Consider the following 17,177-nt stretch of genomic DNA (forward strand, 5'->3'; position numbering starts at 1 on the left):
CCCAACGTCACCCAAGTGCTCCTTGTTTAAATGTTCTGCCCAAGACACACAGCCAAAAAATCTCTAATCCCACCTATCTCCACTGGGGCTTTTTCTCTGACCTTTCCAGCACGAAATGTGACTGTTTATTCCGTGTGTCACAACTGGTTTCTTGTCAGCCCTAAGTAGTTGGTTATTGTAGGGACAGGCATATTTTATTCCTGACAAAAAGCTGTGCCATGTGGAAATCAGAACATTTCTTTTGCTATCAGGCTTGATATCAACCAGGCACACTTTCTCCACATCTTCACCTTCCCACCTAGAAGGCCAGATTTACTTCATGTCTGCAAGTCCTCTGATTCCAGCGGTGTATGCGGCAGCTCTCTTGCATAGCCTTGCCAGCGCTCCTAACGTGATGGATTCTTCCGAATGTTTTTTCTTTTCTTTTTTTCTTTTTTTGAGACAGGGTCTCACCGTGTCACCCAGGCTGGAGTACTGTGTGGTGCAATTCTGGCTCACATGGCAACTACAGGCGCACACCACGCCTAGCTAATTTTTGTATGTATGTATGTGTGTGTGTGTGTATATATATATATATATATATATTTTTTTTTATTTTTATTTTTTTTATTTTTTGTAAAGATGGGTTTTGCCATGTTGCCCAGGCTCGTCACTAACTCCTGGGCTTTGGTGATCTGCCTACCTCAGCCTCCCAAAGTGCTGGGATTACAGGCATGAGCCACCACACTGAGGCTTCAAATGTTTTCTCCTGGAGATTCATGCCTTTCCTGCCTTTCTTCAATAGAAACAAGGAAGGCCAAACCTTACAGACGAAGAATGAAAAGCTTGAGTGTGAACCTTGAGTATATTCTTAGCACACTCCATTAGTCACTTCAGAAGAAAAAAAAACCTACAGGGTTTGGTCAGACATAATTCAATTAGACCCTTTGCTGGAGATACTTACTCAACCCACAGTCTAGCTACAATATTCACTCATCCTTTCTGCCTACTAGAAAGCCAAAGCAGAGAATACCTGAACATGAAGTAGACATCGCGGAGACTCAAACCGCTTTGCTTCTGCGTTGCCCTTCTTGCTGCCTGGCCCATTTGTCAAGCACAGTCATTTGACAGCTCTTCTTTTATCTAAGCAGGTCATGTTCCCTACATGGACTCTGGTCAGGGCAAAACACTAGGCACAGCACCTGTCAAGCGGAGGCCCGGACTGGGGTTTGTATTGAGGCATGGTGGAAATCTCTCTTTGATCTTCAGGATACTTCAGTGTCTTTTTATTAGTGGCTAATTAGGAAGGCTAAAATGATCTGTGTTTAGTGTGCACTGTGCATAATTGGCCCCCCTCACAGTGGCACCCATCAGGTTTCCATGTGACAGAGATGCTGCAGACTGGAAGCCTAGGAGGCTTCACTCCTATCTGCGCTCATGGATACAGGTAGATTAGGGAACTGCTACAGACTGTCCCAGAGGTGTACTGCTGCCTTGAATTTTATCATGCATGCCACTCTCTACTTTTTGAATGCAAGTTTTCAATAATGTGTTTTAGTTTGCTGGGACTGTCACAACAAAAGACTATAGGCTGGGTGGCTTCAATAAAAGAATTTTATTTCTCACAGTTCTGGAGGCTAGAATTTCAAGATCAAGGTGCCAGCAAAATAGGTTTCATTCTGATCCCTCTCCTAGCTTGCTGGTGGCCACCATGTTGCTGTGTGGTCATATCACCTCTTCTGTATGTGTGCGCCAGGTAGGCAGAGAAACAGAGCAAGCTCTCTGGTGTTTCTTCTTATCAGGCCACTGAGCCTTTCATGAGGGCCTCCCTCTCATGACCTCATCTAGCTCTAATCACCTGCCAAAGGCCTCATCTCCAAAGACCATCACACTGGAGGTCAGAGGGTCAACATGAATTTGTGGGGATACATTCAGTCCATAATAATATACATAAAGTTATTCAAGGCCCTAATAACATAATAAGCCAGAACTTGGATATCAGATGGGTCAAAGGCTTTCAATGCTTAGGAGGCATATTCTGCTTAAGGCAATGGTGTCCCTTGAAGGCTATCTGTTTGCTTTTGGATAAAATGGACAGAAGGGCCAAAGTAAATACTCAAGTATTAGGGTTAGTGATGTTATATAAAACACCAAGCACAAATAGATTAAGATTGAGAAGCAAGATTGTGAGTAATGTTCTCTCTTACCAAGCTGATGAGCCCATCATTGCTGAGAGCAGGGGCAGTGGTTAGGCTGGCTGGTTTGTAGTAGATTACTCCTGTTTAAAATGTGAGAACAGTCATTCAACATGTTTTAAATTCAAAACACATCCTTTGACCTAGCGACTTCTACATCTAAGATGTAAGGTACTGGAATAATATATAGTTCAAGTACAAACGTCACATCAAAGAAATATCTAATGAACTCTATGCATCTCTGAATGTGTCTGTCAAATGTGGATATTTATACAGTCTTGCACCCATTAGGACTGGTTTTCCTTGGGGTCCTAAGCCAGTGCTATTTAGCAGGATAGGGGGTTCATTGGAGCAGTGTTTATAATTGCAAACAGTTGGAAACAACTGAATGTCCACCAACAAGGGAATAATTGAACAATTACGGACATCTGTACAATAGAATATTACCTCATTTAAAAGAATGAGATAGGTCTATAGGCACTGACCTGAAAAAATGGGGCATATTAAGTGAAATGTCATGAGATATATGTAAAATAAAAAACAAAACTTGTTGCAAACCAGTAAGTAGAGCATGACCCCCAAAAATGTGAGCAGGTGTGTGTGGCTGACTGTACAAATCAAGGAAAATGTCCAAACTAAGGAACAATACAGGCTAAATTGTTAACAGCAGTTAGTTACTTCAGGGAATCAGGAGGAAGAAAGGTAGATTAACTCAGTAAGGCCACAGTTTGCAGAGTTTTTTTAAAGTATTGGACTTAACAATTTTTAACTTTTTGTCTCCCATTATTTTTATATTTTTAAAAAGTGTAGAAAGTCCCATTATTTACTTTCGCATAAATAAGTAAATAATGCAAATCAGTGAGTGGTCTGTGGACTCCAAGTCACTCTTTTATAGTGTCTCAAACTCATTTATTGGCTATGTGACTTCTGAGTAAGTTATTGATCTCTCTGAAACTCAACTGTTTTCACCCTACACATCAGGGAGAATTCCTACTCTCATACCGTTATTAAACCAAAAAAATTAAAATGTGAAAAAAGATCAATTCAAAAATAATTTAAAAACAGAAGAGCAGGCTGGGCGCCTGTAATCCCAGCACTTTGGGAGGCAGAGGTGGACAGATCGCCTGAGGTCAGAAGTTCGAGACCAGCCTAGCTAACGTGGTGAAACCCCGTCTCTACTAAAAATACAAAAATTATCCAGGCATGGTGGCACACACCTGTAGTCCCAGCTACTCGGGAAGCTGAGGCAGGAGAATTGCTTGAACCCAGGAGGTGGAGGTTGCAGTGAGCCAAGATTGTGCCATTGCACTCCAGCCTGGGTGACAGAGCGAGACTCCGTCTAAAAAAACAAAAAACAAACAAAACTAGAAGAGCACTGCAGGACTGTGAGGCTGTAGTGGTAGAATTTAAGTTTTTTCTAAGCTAGAACAAAAATCAATTCCATTTAATTTTCACTTTAATACTAGAGCTCCCAGTTTTTACTAAGAAGGTGTGCATCTTCTGTAATAAAGGCTTTTGGCAGTACTCACAGACTGCCCTGGCTCCAGTTCAAATGCTTCACCAGGGACAAGTGTAAGATGATCTGGCTGCAGAGCCTCGACTCATGAGCTGGATTCGCTTCTTCCAATGCAGCCGACACTGTTTTTCTGCCTACCATTTCCTGCTTCCGAGGGCAGAAACATCTACATGATGCATGGAGTTGATCTTTCCCCTTTCATGCTGGGATATACAATTAGGCATTAGTGGGTTTTTCATTACAAGTAATTTTGGCCACCCCCAAAAATATCCAGGTGGGTAGCTGCTGACAGAACAAATGGTTCCACCTACTTCAACAAGGGCTATCATATGATGATCCATAAGCCATGATTTTAACTAGAGCGAACCTGAAACTAAGGGAGAATATATCATTAATAGCTGTGGACCAGTGAGCCACCTTGAGCACAACTGCCAATTCTACAGTTCAGGCTATTTCTCTAGGCATTTATCAACTGGTGTTATGTAGTTAAAATCAGTAAAATACTACATGTTACATTACATTCTTTTTCTCCCAGCTTTACAAAGGTATAACCTACACCTGAAGTACACCTACCACCTCAATTAAGATAAAATTTCCATCACCCCAAAAAGTTTTCTCTTAACCCACTGCAGTCAGTTCTCTTTCCTGAGGTCCTGCCGACCACCTGCTTTTGACTTTTTTAGACTCTCAGGTAAATAGAATTAAATAGAGTCTTTTGTGTCTCTTGCTTTCACTTAGCATACTGTTTTGAAATTCATTCATGTTGTTTTGAGGATCAGTAGTTCATTCCTTCTTATTGCTGAGAAGTATTTCATAGTATGGATATACTGCAATTTGTAACTACTATAAGTAACACTGTGAACACTTGCATAAAAATCTTTGGCCATATGGGTAAACCTAGGAATAGAATGGCTAGATGGTAGGTGTATGTTTCAAGAGACTGCCAAGCTGTTTTCTAAAGTCACAATGTAACATTTTACATTGTGACTCACCAGCAGTGCATGAAAGTTCCACTTGCTCCAGTCTCAGCAGTATTTGATTTATGAATCTTAAATTTTAGCCATTTTAATGGGTATGCAGTTTGTCATTGTGAATTTTAGTTGCATTTCCCTGATGACTAACGATGTTGAGGATCTTTTCAAGTGCTCATTCATATGTCATCTTTTGGGAAATGTTTGCTCAACTCTTGCACATTTTTAAAAAACAGTTGTTTTATTTTTACTATTAAGTTTTATTATTAAGTTTTAAGAAATCTTTATGCATGCTGGATACAAGTCCTTTTGGCATGCATTATTTTTAGAGGGCATATTTCATTTTTAAAATGTTGTAAGGATCTGCTTATAACAGAGCTGTGAAGGGTCAGCTGGAAGTGTGTGTGTTCACAAATCTTACAGAGTTAGACACTGCTGCCCCAATTCAAGGTTGTAATATGGTCAGGTTTTCTCCTAGTAGTAGACTCAGCAAAAGATCCATAAACATAATTCTTATTTCACTATCTTTGTTAGCTACTTCTTCTTTTTTTTTTTTGTAGACAGAATCTCACTCTGTCACCCAGGCTGGAGGGCAGTGGCACAATCTGGGATCACTGCAACGTCCACCTCCTGGTTCAAGAGATTTTCCTGACTCAGCCTCCCAGGTAGCTGGGACTGCAGGCCCACACCACCATGCCTGGCTAATTTTTATATTTTTAGTGGAGATGGCATTTCACCATGTTGGTCAGGCTGATCTCGAACTATTGGCCTCAAGTGATCTGCCCACCTCAGCCTCCCAAAGTGCTAGGATTACAGGCATGAGCCACAGCGCACCCAGCCTTTGTTAGCTATTTCTACTGGGACTTTAAAGTATTATATTTTATCATATTTCTTATTACTTCAATAGTACCTGGGAACTTGTCTCAAACATGAGACCCAGCTTTTTTCCAGAGATGGTACCTACTGGAGAATTCTAGATTGAAGTAAGAAAGGAAATTAGGATATAAAACAAGGAGGATTGGCTGAAGCTTAGCTTCAGAAAAAGAGAGGTCTAATATCTCCCTGGGACAATAGAGAAACTAGTAGCTCAATTAAGTATTTAAAACCATGATTTTATAACTGACTGATTACAGTAACATGTATGGCCTATGGCAAAAATAAGCTTCTCATTGTTTCCTAATGTTCATACTGCATTGATATCAATACTTGTCCATTTTAACTCTTACAGCAGAACAGATCTTTGTTGCATGTACTCTATCTTAGAGTATCACAGATAGAGTAAAAAATACCTATGCACCCTCACATATTTTGAATCCTTGTATTACAGATTTTTCTTTCACTTTAAACTGACCTCAGAAGCTATAATTGTTGGACCATAATTGATTCTTAAACGTTTTCTAAAAATATTGTTATTTTAGTGTTTCTCAATGATGAATACATGTCAAATGTAGAAAATCAAAGCTAAACCCCTCAGTTATCTCGAACTCATGCAACATGAATTCTCATCGATTATCTTGTTTTATCAATAAGGAAAGAAATGGGATCTTGTTATGCAGGAGTAATCCGTTCCAATGTGATGTTCTGATGTCTGAGGAGCACGTCTGCCTTTCAGAACAGATCCTGCACTCTGCTAGTGCATTTCTCCAGCACTCCACGGGGCTTTTACCCAACAATGCAGCTTCACACACAGACACCACACTGGTATATGGCACAAGCTGGCCTAATATGCAGGGAAAGGATGGTCTCTACCCACACAGCCAGACAGTGCTTTCTACTTTATTAAACATCAAAGCCCAAATAGATGTTCCCTGTGGAGGAGGACTTAAGGACACTAGGGGAGGAGAAAGGGACACCTGGGAAGAGAATCACACCACAGAGACCAATCTTCACAAAAAGGGTCCAACATTGATTTCTAGGGAGGAGCAGGGCATGGTCAGCTCAAATTTGGTGATAACGTCAGGATGAAGGACCCCAAGCTTCCCGACGCTTTGACCCCTGGCAAAGATCTCTGCACATCGCCCGGGGAAGAAAGCAGGCCCTGAAAAAGAGAAAGTAAGAGAAAAATCAATGTTTCTTCTGGCAAAACATCAATAGACATTTAACACTAAAAGCCCACTAGTCTACTTTAAAAATAACTATTCTTTAAATCACTGGCTATGAAAAGAGAACGCTTCCTCATACTTTCTAGTATTTAAAAGAAGGATTTGCTATCAAGAAACTCTTGCAAGGAAAAAATCCGGGGCAAATATGAAAATAAGGGCCCTGTATTTTTGGTAACAGGGACCCGAGCAGGAAGGATGAAATCATGGAGGCTGCTGAAGGTCCACAGTCAGAAGTCCTAGGGGAACTCTGCCTGCACTTGGAACTGGTCCTAAAAAGGCCAAAAGGAAAAAAATGAAACATAAAACTGATGAACTTAATGGGAAGAACCTGTTTTCAAACAGGTTTTTCCATAGCAACGCTCACTGGATAAGACATCGACACTGAATTCATTTGCTCTGTACAACTCTTCCTCACTCTTTCTCACCTTATTACATAAAGAAACTGGAGCCGCCGTGTCATAGGCCGGCTACTGGGGGAACCACACCTCTGATGACAGGCCATGCTACCAGAAGGCAACCCACATTCCCATCTGAAAAGAGCTTTCTAAGCAGTTCTGAAGCATCTACTGTAAAACCACAGCAAAGGCCAGCCTAACACAAGTCTGGGTTGATGCCTCATTTACTTCAAGACAGGCAGAAAGTTCTCTTTATCTGGGTGCCAATGCACTGATACAGCTTACCAAGGCAGTAACAGTTCTTGAGATTTACAGAGCTAAAAATGAACATATGGGCCCACTCCATATTCATGAAATTACCAGTGCCACAGTAAATTATCAGTGTTCTGTACTCTTCTGAAGTTTACAAATATGCTGACTCACTGCTCTCACCACCAACTTGAAAAGGGATCAGGCCTGCAGCTCCTGACAGATTCAACAGAAACATTTACTGGCATAAACTATAAACACCCATGCAGAGCTGGGCCACAGTGTCCAGCCTGCCACTTCAGAGTGAGTGCATTATTGATGAAAGAGTAAACTGCTGAGTCTCTACTAATGGTTCCAAGGTCAGCATGCTTAGGAAATACAGAATCAGGTTGGAGGGGAGGGGAACCGGCTACTGTCAAGTTAGTACCACAGAGACAAAGGACAATTACATATATTTCTTGACCAGCAGAGAAGGATCTTTGTTTATATTTCTGGGGAAAGAGCTGGAAAATATTCTAAATTGTCATTCTTAAGTAAACCCAAAGCAACAGAGGTGAAATATTAAGGTGGCCTCTTTTTCACATCTCTCCAAACTAAACAATTCTGCCTCACTGTCTTTTAAAGCAAGAATTTCAGTGACTGCATTTAACTATCTGGCTCTGCACACTAATCCACACTTGGGGTGAGGGATAGGGAGGGAAACCAAATAAAACAATGCAGAAACCAAACCCAACTAATATTATAGAGCCTTAGTTTCATATTAATATGAATATTCACATTCATATGAATATTACTAAATCTGATAAAGATGGCACATTTTAATTCTATCAAAATAAATGTCTAACTTAAAAGACAAAACTCTCCTCCCCTCGACTCCCCAAAGGAGAAGAAAAATCTTCAAATGACATGTAAGTGAAGATTATATAAGGTGTTGATGGTAAGCAATATAATCAAGAACTGCAGAACTGGAAGGACTGCTGGGAATTATTTATCCCAGCACCCCAGCACCCCTATACAGAGCTAGACTTGAATACAACCACACTACCTGAAAAAAGACACCAGCTTGCTGTGGTTTTTATGAACTTTTATCTTATTAATAGATTCAACGGGTACGTGTTCAAGTTTGTTACCTGGGTATATTGTGTGATGCTGATGTTTGACACCAGTCTATTTTTAAGGGACACTCAGAAAGGCAATGTTCAGGATCTTCCCTGATAACTTTACTGTGTTTAAGAATCCTCATTGTACCAAAATCCATCCTTTCATCTATCTTCAATTCCAATTTGATTGGTTTCATTTTTACAAGCATAAAACCAAACTATTTTGGAATCTAAGCCAGATGTGCTAGTTCTAACAATGTTAGCAAAATAAAGCCTAAGAGATAAGAGCTTAGAATTTTTACTTCATAAAACAACTTTTCGAATCAGCACTTTTTTTTTTAGCAAAATTCAGTTATATTCTTCTTCAGTTGCCAGATCTACCTCTCTCCAGAAGTTGGGATCAAACTTTGCTTTAGCTCATTAATCAGTTAGGTACTTGATCAGACAAAAAATATTTGTGTCACTAAGTATAATTTTCCCTCTTTCCAAAGAAAAGCAAAAAAGAACTAAAATTCATACTATGCTTTATTTAAAACATATCCAAGCATATGAGTATTCTACATAACATAAATATCAAAAGCTCTCACCTGTCACCTGGACACATAGACCCATCCAGGCCACTGCAGCATCTCAAACTGCTCTGGGGTCAGAAGGCCTTCACAGCGGTCCAATGGAGCTGACAGCACATACAGGAGCCTGCTGCCCTCTTGTCCAATACTAATCATCCTCCCCTACCAACTCACACGTAAAAAGGAAGCATGCTGCCCTATCATCCAATACAAATTATCCTTCCCTACCAACCCACATGTAAAAATGAAGCCCAGTCATAAGATTCCTGTATAAACTCGACTTTGCTGAAACTGCACACTTTATATCTGACCTTGTGAAAAATGAAAAAATGGCAAGTTAAAATTGTCATCACAGGTTAAACACTTCTTGTGATTTTCTTATCGACTCCTCTTTTCAGCAAGGTTAAGGTTCTGTCCTCCTCATACACAAATTAAGTGGTACGCACATAAAAGCTCCTTCAAGTTGTCTATTGGTACAACAGAGAGAACCTAAAAAATGTGCCACTTGACAGATATTACATGTAAACTAGAAATACTGAAGGAAAATATAACGTTACTAAAACAGAAGTATTTCTTAGTGCTTTTGAAAACCTTTAAGGTTCAAACCAAACTTTGCAGGCAGAAGGGAATTGCTTCAAAGGATAGAAGAGAGAATAACTACTTCACTAAGAAAACAAGGGAGATATAGCTGACCTGGGCAACCATTAGGCCCTAGAGTTCAAAGATGAGAGCATCTCTCTCCACTGTTGGCAGAAAGGGGGTAGTTGAGCACAATAACTCCGGTAGATTAATGTGATCATAGTGCTCTAGCTAGGACTAATGTGCCGTAAAGCAGAGTATTTCCAGAAATAAAAACAGTCACATCGAAATGGAACAAAATATGAGTCTAGGCTTGTGAAAAATCAGACCTGGGTGGTAGCCAAAGGCTAACCTTATAGCATCAACAAACAAAAACATATTTTTAGAGAAAGAGCAGCATGCTGTGTCTAGAAACATAAAGTTGCCATTTCAAAGAAAATGACATTGCTTTGTGAAATGGGAATTCTAAAATTCAAATTCTATAAAGTACATTAGTTTTCTCTTACTGATGTTTCAAGATGTGTAGTATTACAATTTTCAATCTAAGCCCAAAATGCTCCCCAGCAAAAAGCCTCCGAGCCCGCTTTTCTACCTACTTCCTTATACTGGTTAAACTCTCAGCTTTGCTGCTATCACAGTAAACGGCTTCCAACATAAAACAGATGTGGGGGAAATAGTGTTCTCTGTTGAAATACATGTGAAAGTCTGGACAAAAGAAACATCAGGTAAGCACAAAAAAGAATTCAATTTCCAAAACTTAGTGGGGTGTTAGTAAGTCCCTTAATTAAAGCCTTTGTAGCATCTCCTAGAGGTCTGTAATTGTCTCTGTGCTCAGACGGCAGGACCACTCTGAGGACCTTGGGGGTAATTCCTGGGCCTGTAATCCAGCACAGCACCCAGGCTTTAGCACATTTTCTGGCTAATTGACCATCAAAGAGTTTGTAAGCTCCCTCTCTTGCTCATTGCTAAACACTTTTCACAGTTTCTTTTTGCCTCATCTTTTTTTTTTTTTTTAAAGAGAAATATTATAGGCCCAAAGTTTGGATAAGCTTTACACGTAGAGTCATTCCTATAATTTTAGGGAGCATCAGAAGTAGAAGCTTAAGGAGGTAACTGAGCAGACCCCCTAATCTGAAAACATCAGAAGGTGTTATCAAGCACCTTCTTAATCAGGGTCTTAATTCCTGATCTTCATCCCCCTGCCACTGGCTATATTCGACTCAATCATTTGGTATTTTATTTAGCCCATCTGTAAAAAGTCATCTACTCATACAATTTTATTTTTCCTTTTTTTTTTACATTACTAATACATGATGTGAGGCTCGAACCCACATATTGTACTGCTTGCAATCTGATACTTAACCACCCAAAATTTCTGCAATAAAGAGATAAGAACAAAATATAAAGGGGGGGGCAGGGAACACTGGAAAAGGAATGTCCTTATGTCACATATGTCATAGCAAACAACAGAAACTATCATCATGAGTTTTAACTATACATAAGTCTCCAACTTCAGGGATGAACTAAAAAAATACAAAATTATATAGATATTGTAAGCCACTGGGCCAACTGAATGTACTGTAAATATGTTCTAAGTGAGTAATTATGTACTATGGAGTGAAGGGAGGAATAATCATTTCACAGGCTGATTCGGGGGCTGGCATCTACCCAAGCCCTTCTCCTCCCAGAAAAGGGGAATAAAACATCTCCAGTGTTCCATACTGGGGTGAAATTGACAGGGTGGGTGACAAGGCAAAGTGTGGAATGAGACTGGAACCATAATTTCCTACAGAGGAGGAACTTCCTCCTGGTTTCCCACTAGTTTTCTGAGAATGCAGTAACAGGAATTGTAGGACTCTGCTGCCAGCTCATCAACATCACCTTCCTTTTCTAAACAATGTTGATTTAAAGGAAGAGACAGCATATAGAGGCTATAAAATGAAACACACACTTATCCCACGTGAGCATGGTGTCATTCTTAAAGGTGGCTGTTCTCGAAGTTTTAGAACCAGCAGTTTTTTGAGGGCACCGATGGACTACAACAAGGGGAGAGAACTCAAGGGGGAAAACGGTACAATGTAGGTAAGACATTAGAGCTTATAAAAGGAAAGAAAAAGGTTTAGGAATATGAGGAGGAAAAAAATCATTATTGAGATATAAAACACACAAACATTTTTTCAGATCCTAGTACACTCAGTTGGGAGAAAATGTCTCTGCAAAGACCATTTAATTTGTAAGTGGAGACTGAATAATTTCCAACTGGTAATATAAAACACCTATTTTCCCCTGATGTATACAATTCTTCACCTTGCATTTGAAGTGAAATATTTATGGTACCTAAAGTCTGTAAAGAGAGGGGACCTAATCCCTTGAGTTTAATGACCATCTTTCATCCCTTTCTGAAGATCAAAAGAAAGAAAACCCCCTCACACAACTTTACAGTGCTAATCCCAACACACCTGCAGACACCATTAACTCTTAAAGTGAAGGCAACTGGATGTGAGGGAACTGGTACCTACTTAACCCCACAGCATGGAACTCAGGGAGCCCATGACGCAGCAACATTCCATCAACACAGGGCAGGGTATACTATTACAAATCCGGACAGGATCCTGTAGGACCTTATGCTTCAAAAGAAATCAGCAAAACCCACACTACCTAGTCCTCTAAGTGATGGAGCAATGTCTTCAATAAACAACCATCTTTTAACAATTACCACAATCTCCTTGTGACTAAATATTTAGAATCGTAACTCCAAAATTTCCCAGTCTTAATTTGTGTAGAGAAATTTATCATTTATCATTTATTCCTGTGATTTTTACTTTTTAACATTTCTTATGAAACATTTAGTTAATTAGGGCAAATACGAAATGATTAAATAGAAAATGCTCGGGAAACGTTGAGATCTATTTTAAAGTCTAATCTTAACTATGTGTCTCTCATGCACACATGCACACTCATATTTTAAAACCTAAAGGAGGTCAGGAATGTTGGAAGAGCTTCAAGATGACCCAGCTAATTGTAACTTTAAATCACTCTCAAACTGTGTAAAACCAAAGGATTTTTACCTCTAGGTTAAAAAGTACCCTCACTGTCAGTCTGTTTTGAAAACTTCTGTTCTTAAATAATGCCATCATCCTATATTTGTCTGACACCCATATCATTTTCCCCCAAAATTTTCACATTTCTTCAATATGTATAGAATATATTTAGAATAACAACTTCAAAAATAAAAGAAATCACTCTGCCTTCTTGGGCCAACAAATGGTTCTTTACCCAGTCTTTCACCTGACAAAAATCTTTAAGGGGATTATTTCTCAAACCAAAAGGAATAATTTATTACTTCCTCCACAAGTACAGTGAAATAATTAAAAAGAGACTGTGGTAGGGCTAATTAAGGAAAGAATGGAAATGTCGACTATATGAGATTGTATCCAAATTTCACAATTAGTTAACTTATTCAATTGAGACCTTTAGCTAACTTAGTGCAAACATAACTTTAAACATGTAATTTTGATAGCTGTTTTAGTTTCAGAGTAAGATTTCAGGTGACAAGTAGGGCATGTAAAAGAAAAAGGAGGCCGGGCACGGTGGCTCACGCCTGTAATCCCAGCACTTTGGGGGCCAACGCGGGAAGATCACGAGGTCAGGAGATCGAGACCATCCTGGCCAACATGGTGAAACCCCATCTCTACTAAAAATACAAAAAAATTAGCTGGGGCCGGGCACAGTAGCTCATGCCTGTAATCCCAGCACTTTGGGAGGCCAAGGCAGGTGGATCATGAGGTCAGGAGATCGAGACCATCCTGGCTAACATGGTGAAACCCCATCTCTACTAAAAAATACAAAAAAAATTAGCCAGGCGTGACGGTGGGCGCCTGTAGTCCCAGCTACTCAGGAGGCTAAGACAAGAGAATTGCTTGAACTCGGGAGGGGGAGGTTGCAGTAAGCTGAGATCTCACCACTGCACTCCAGCCTGGGTGATAGAGTGAGACTCCATCTCAAAAACAAAGAAAAGAAAAATGAAAGAATAATGAAATTGCAAAAACATGGCACCTCGCCTTCTATTCACTCATTCCCAGTGCAGCCCTGGCCAAGCCCTTTGTGGGACAGACAAGTTACAGATGGGAAAAAGTGAAGCACAAGGAGATTAGGAGGCTTGCCCTAGGCAAGCAATAGTAGAGGCTGGAGAGTAAGCAAAAGGTGAATAAGGGCCGTGGAATCAGCTCTTCTGTGTGTGGCCCACAGGCACATAAGGCCTAAAGCAGAATGTTTTTAAGCTTTTGGTCAAGCTGTCCATTTCGTGTTTACAAACTTCTTCTGGTTTACAATTAAATAAACAAACAAAACTTAAGAGAAAATAAGAAAGACTGACAGTTCATCATCTTCCACCTTAGGACATACCCAAGTAGGGTCTGTAATATTAATACAGCACAATACTGACAAAACCTAGAGCCTTCCATGGAAAACAGAACTATTTATTTTTTAAATCCCATATAACACAGGTACTTGTATGAATAAATTTCAGATTCTTGAAACAAAGCTGGAATTATTTCAGCAGACAAGTACCACAGGGACACCATCTACAAAGGCAAAGAAAAAGAGCTGAAATGTTAGAACTTGTGGCAGAAACTCCTTCTGAATTTAAACTCCTGCAAACTCTTAAAACTAGAAATGACCTTGGAAGCAATCCTGTCCATTTCCTTCACTTAATATATGAAAAAAATAGATACTAGACAGGTTAAGAAAACAGGTAGGAGCAGAATTGAGATCAGAACTCAGGTTTTCCTGAAACCCAGTCTGTAGCTCATCCAACGTTGCTTTTCTGAAGACAGATAGACCTAAGATCTACTCCAAGTTTACTCTGAGGAGATTTACACATTCCAAAATGCTTTCACAAATTCTTGCAACTGCCTCCCCTGACAACTCTAGGGTGTTGATGGGACAGATATCGTCATTGCCATTTTACAGATGAAGAAACTGGCGTGAAGGAATTAAGTCTTTAATAACATGGATTAGTGACAGAACGACTTGCCACAACACTCAGTGTTAAATGGACTCTATCACAGTTGATTAGCATGCATCCTAAGGTTTTACAAACAACATATTCATTACATATAAGTAAATATTATATACATGAATATTATACATAATAAATATTATATATAATGAATTAATGTCTATTCCATCTTGGGAACTGCTTTTTCAAGTGAGTTTGTATTCACGTGTCTAAAGACATTTTAATCACATTCCACTATATTTATATGTCATAGCTTGTCAACTTATTCTTTAAGTATTTAATCCTGAAGTTGTTTCCTATTATTCATTAGTATAAATAAGGCTTCTGTAAGCATAGAGTCTTTCTTGGATTACTTCCCTTTTCTAAAAGTAGTACTAAAGGTGAGGCATAGTGGTTGTACACCTGCAATCCTAGTGCTTTGGGAGGCTGAGGCAGGAAGGTGGCTTGAGACCAGGTGTTCAAAACTAGCCTGGGCAACATAGTGAGACAACATCTCAAAAAAAAAAAAATAGTGCTACATAGGTAAAAAGAAAATGAATCATTGTATAGCTCCTTATATAGCAAAATGTTAAACAATGCACTTCTAGTAGTGGTACTAGCAACAAACCACAAATAGATTATATTGATCTCATCTTGTACAACACCAATAAAAAACTTTCTCCTGCATAACACAACTACTGCCTTTAAAAAAAAATTCCACTGGTAGGAAAAAAAAATGCCCCAAATCAACCTAGGAAAATAATTCCAAGAGGAAACCTTTTTTCAGAGAATGCAATTCACAAACTAAGGGACTTTAGGGATTATGAGAGTGACTAGAAACCTTTATCTCCTGAAAGGTGAGCGACAAAATATAGTGACTCGGAAGGGGGAAAATGAGGGTTCTGGTTCTTGGAAGGGGAGAAGTAGAGGAAAGTACAACTATAACACAAAAAACCCTACAAGACAGGAAGGGCCAGGGGGTCTTGAGACATTTTACTTGGCCTCATAAGACCCTCAGCAAGAAGATCACATTCCTGACCCACAGCCCACATGAGCCAACAGGTGCTCAGATGTATTTCCAAGGTTGCCCAAGTCACCCAAATGAATGACAGCATTCATTTCTCAAAAAGCCCAAGGTTAGGCCACAGCTATTCAACCCCAGTGTAAAACAAAATAATTGGTCAAAGTAAAAACCACAACTGAGACTTCAGTAAAGTTAACGGGCCTCCTGTCATTTTTATGAAGGTATTGGGAATACTTTAAATGAATGTCAATCTGTTGGATTTCTGCAATGATGTAATATATATATAGAAGAGTAATTTAAGCTAAAAAGCAGAAAGGAGTCTCTCAAAAAAGGAATAATATGGGAGAGAAGAAATGTGCTGACAGATGAATGAAACTGGAGAAGACAGATCTCTAATGGATGTTCTGTTATGTTTCTGCATCCCCACTGCCCCAAAAGTCCATAGTAAAAGAAACATTTCCAATTTTTAAACAAAGCAGACTATGGATTAACATATTTTTAAAAATCAGAGCAAGCATTTAGTTATTAAAGGTTTCTAGAATCTTGCTTGTTAGAAATAAATACAGGAAATGTCAAAAAAGTGGTTTTTCAACAATTTTCTAATTTCCTAGATAAACCATAATAGATATGCTATTAGCTTCTGAGCAGTTGGAGTCAAAAGACAGTTGACAAACTGAAAAAACAGCATATGTATATCACGAAGGGTTGACAGCCACACTACATAGAAGGTTCCTAAAACTAGAGAAGATTGACAAACCTAAAGAAATAAGGAAGAAGACAGGTGGATCACAGAAAAGGAAATAAAAATGTCCTTGTAAACATGTAAATATGTTACATTTGCTCACGGCAAGGGAAATTCAATTAAAACTACAGTGAGACACCATTTCCCATCTGAAAGACTGGCAAAGACAAGAAGTCTGGTGACCATGGCTGTGGAGAAATAAGTCCTCTCAAGTGTTGCTGCAGCGTTTGTACAACGTTGGAACTAGAAATCCTATGGAGGGGTGTTTGGCAGTGTCTAGTGAAAATATGAATTTATTTACTTTGTCCCAGTGATCCCATACTTCTAGGAATCTGTCCCAGAGATACAGTGGCATTACCAAATAACATATGCACAAGACTATTCTCTGTAACACAATCTGTAATAGCAAAAGATTGGAAACAACTCAATGTTAATCAACAGGAAATTAGTTGATTACACTGTGGAACTCCATAAAATGAAGTACCCCAGAGAAGTCAAAAGAAAGGAGGAAGATCTCTATATGCTGCTACAGAATCATCTCCAATGTAGGCTGTCAGGTAAAACAAAGAAAGGTACAGAACAGTGTGTAAAGTATCAGCCCCTCAGCTGAAAGAGTAGAAGAGAATATGAACACACACACACAGGTGTGTGCACACATACATCAGAAGGATAAACTGAAAACTAATAAAAATCATAACCTATAGAGGCAGGGAGGGAACGGTGTGGAAGCCAGAGTTCTCTCTACGTCCCTTATTTA

At 39.3% G+C, this 17,177-nt stretch overlaps 1 protein-coding gene across 4 annotated transcripts in view; it reads right to left on the reverse strand.

Annotated features, from left to right (window-relative positions):
- Positions 1–1,575: 1,575 nt before the first annotated feature.
- The window catches only part of FARSB (phenylalanyl-tRNA synthetase subunit beta), an 89,194-nt gene continuing 73,592 nt past the window's right edge, over positions 1,576–17,177 (reverse strand). For all 4 annotated transcript variants that reach the window (NR_130154.2, NM_005687.5, XM_011510466.3 and 1 more), the window contains one exon: positions 1,576–6,699. Coding sequence is in view for 3 of the 4 variants with exons in the window: in NM_005687.5 (NP_005678.3) it covers positions 6,548–6,699 (152 nt within the window). In the remaining variant the exon portion in view is untranslated. The remainder of the gene's footprint in view (positions 6,700–17,177) is intronic.

Source organism: Homo sapiens, chromosome 2, assembly GCF_000001405.40.
Source record: "Homo sapiens chromosome 2, GRCh38.p14 Primary Assembly".
In the NCBI taxonomy this organism is placed as follows: Eukaryota; Metazoa; Chordata; class Mammalia; order Primates; family Hominidae; genus Homo; species Homo sapiens.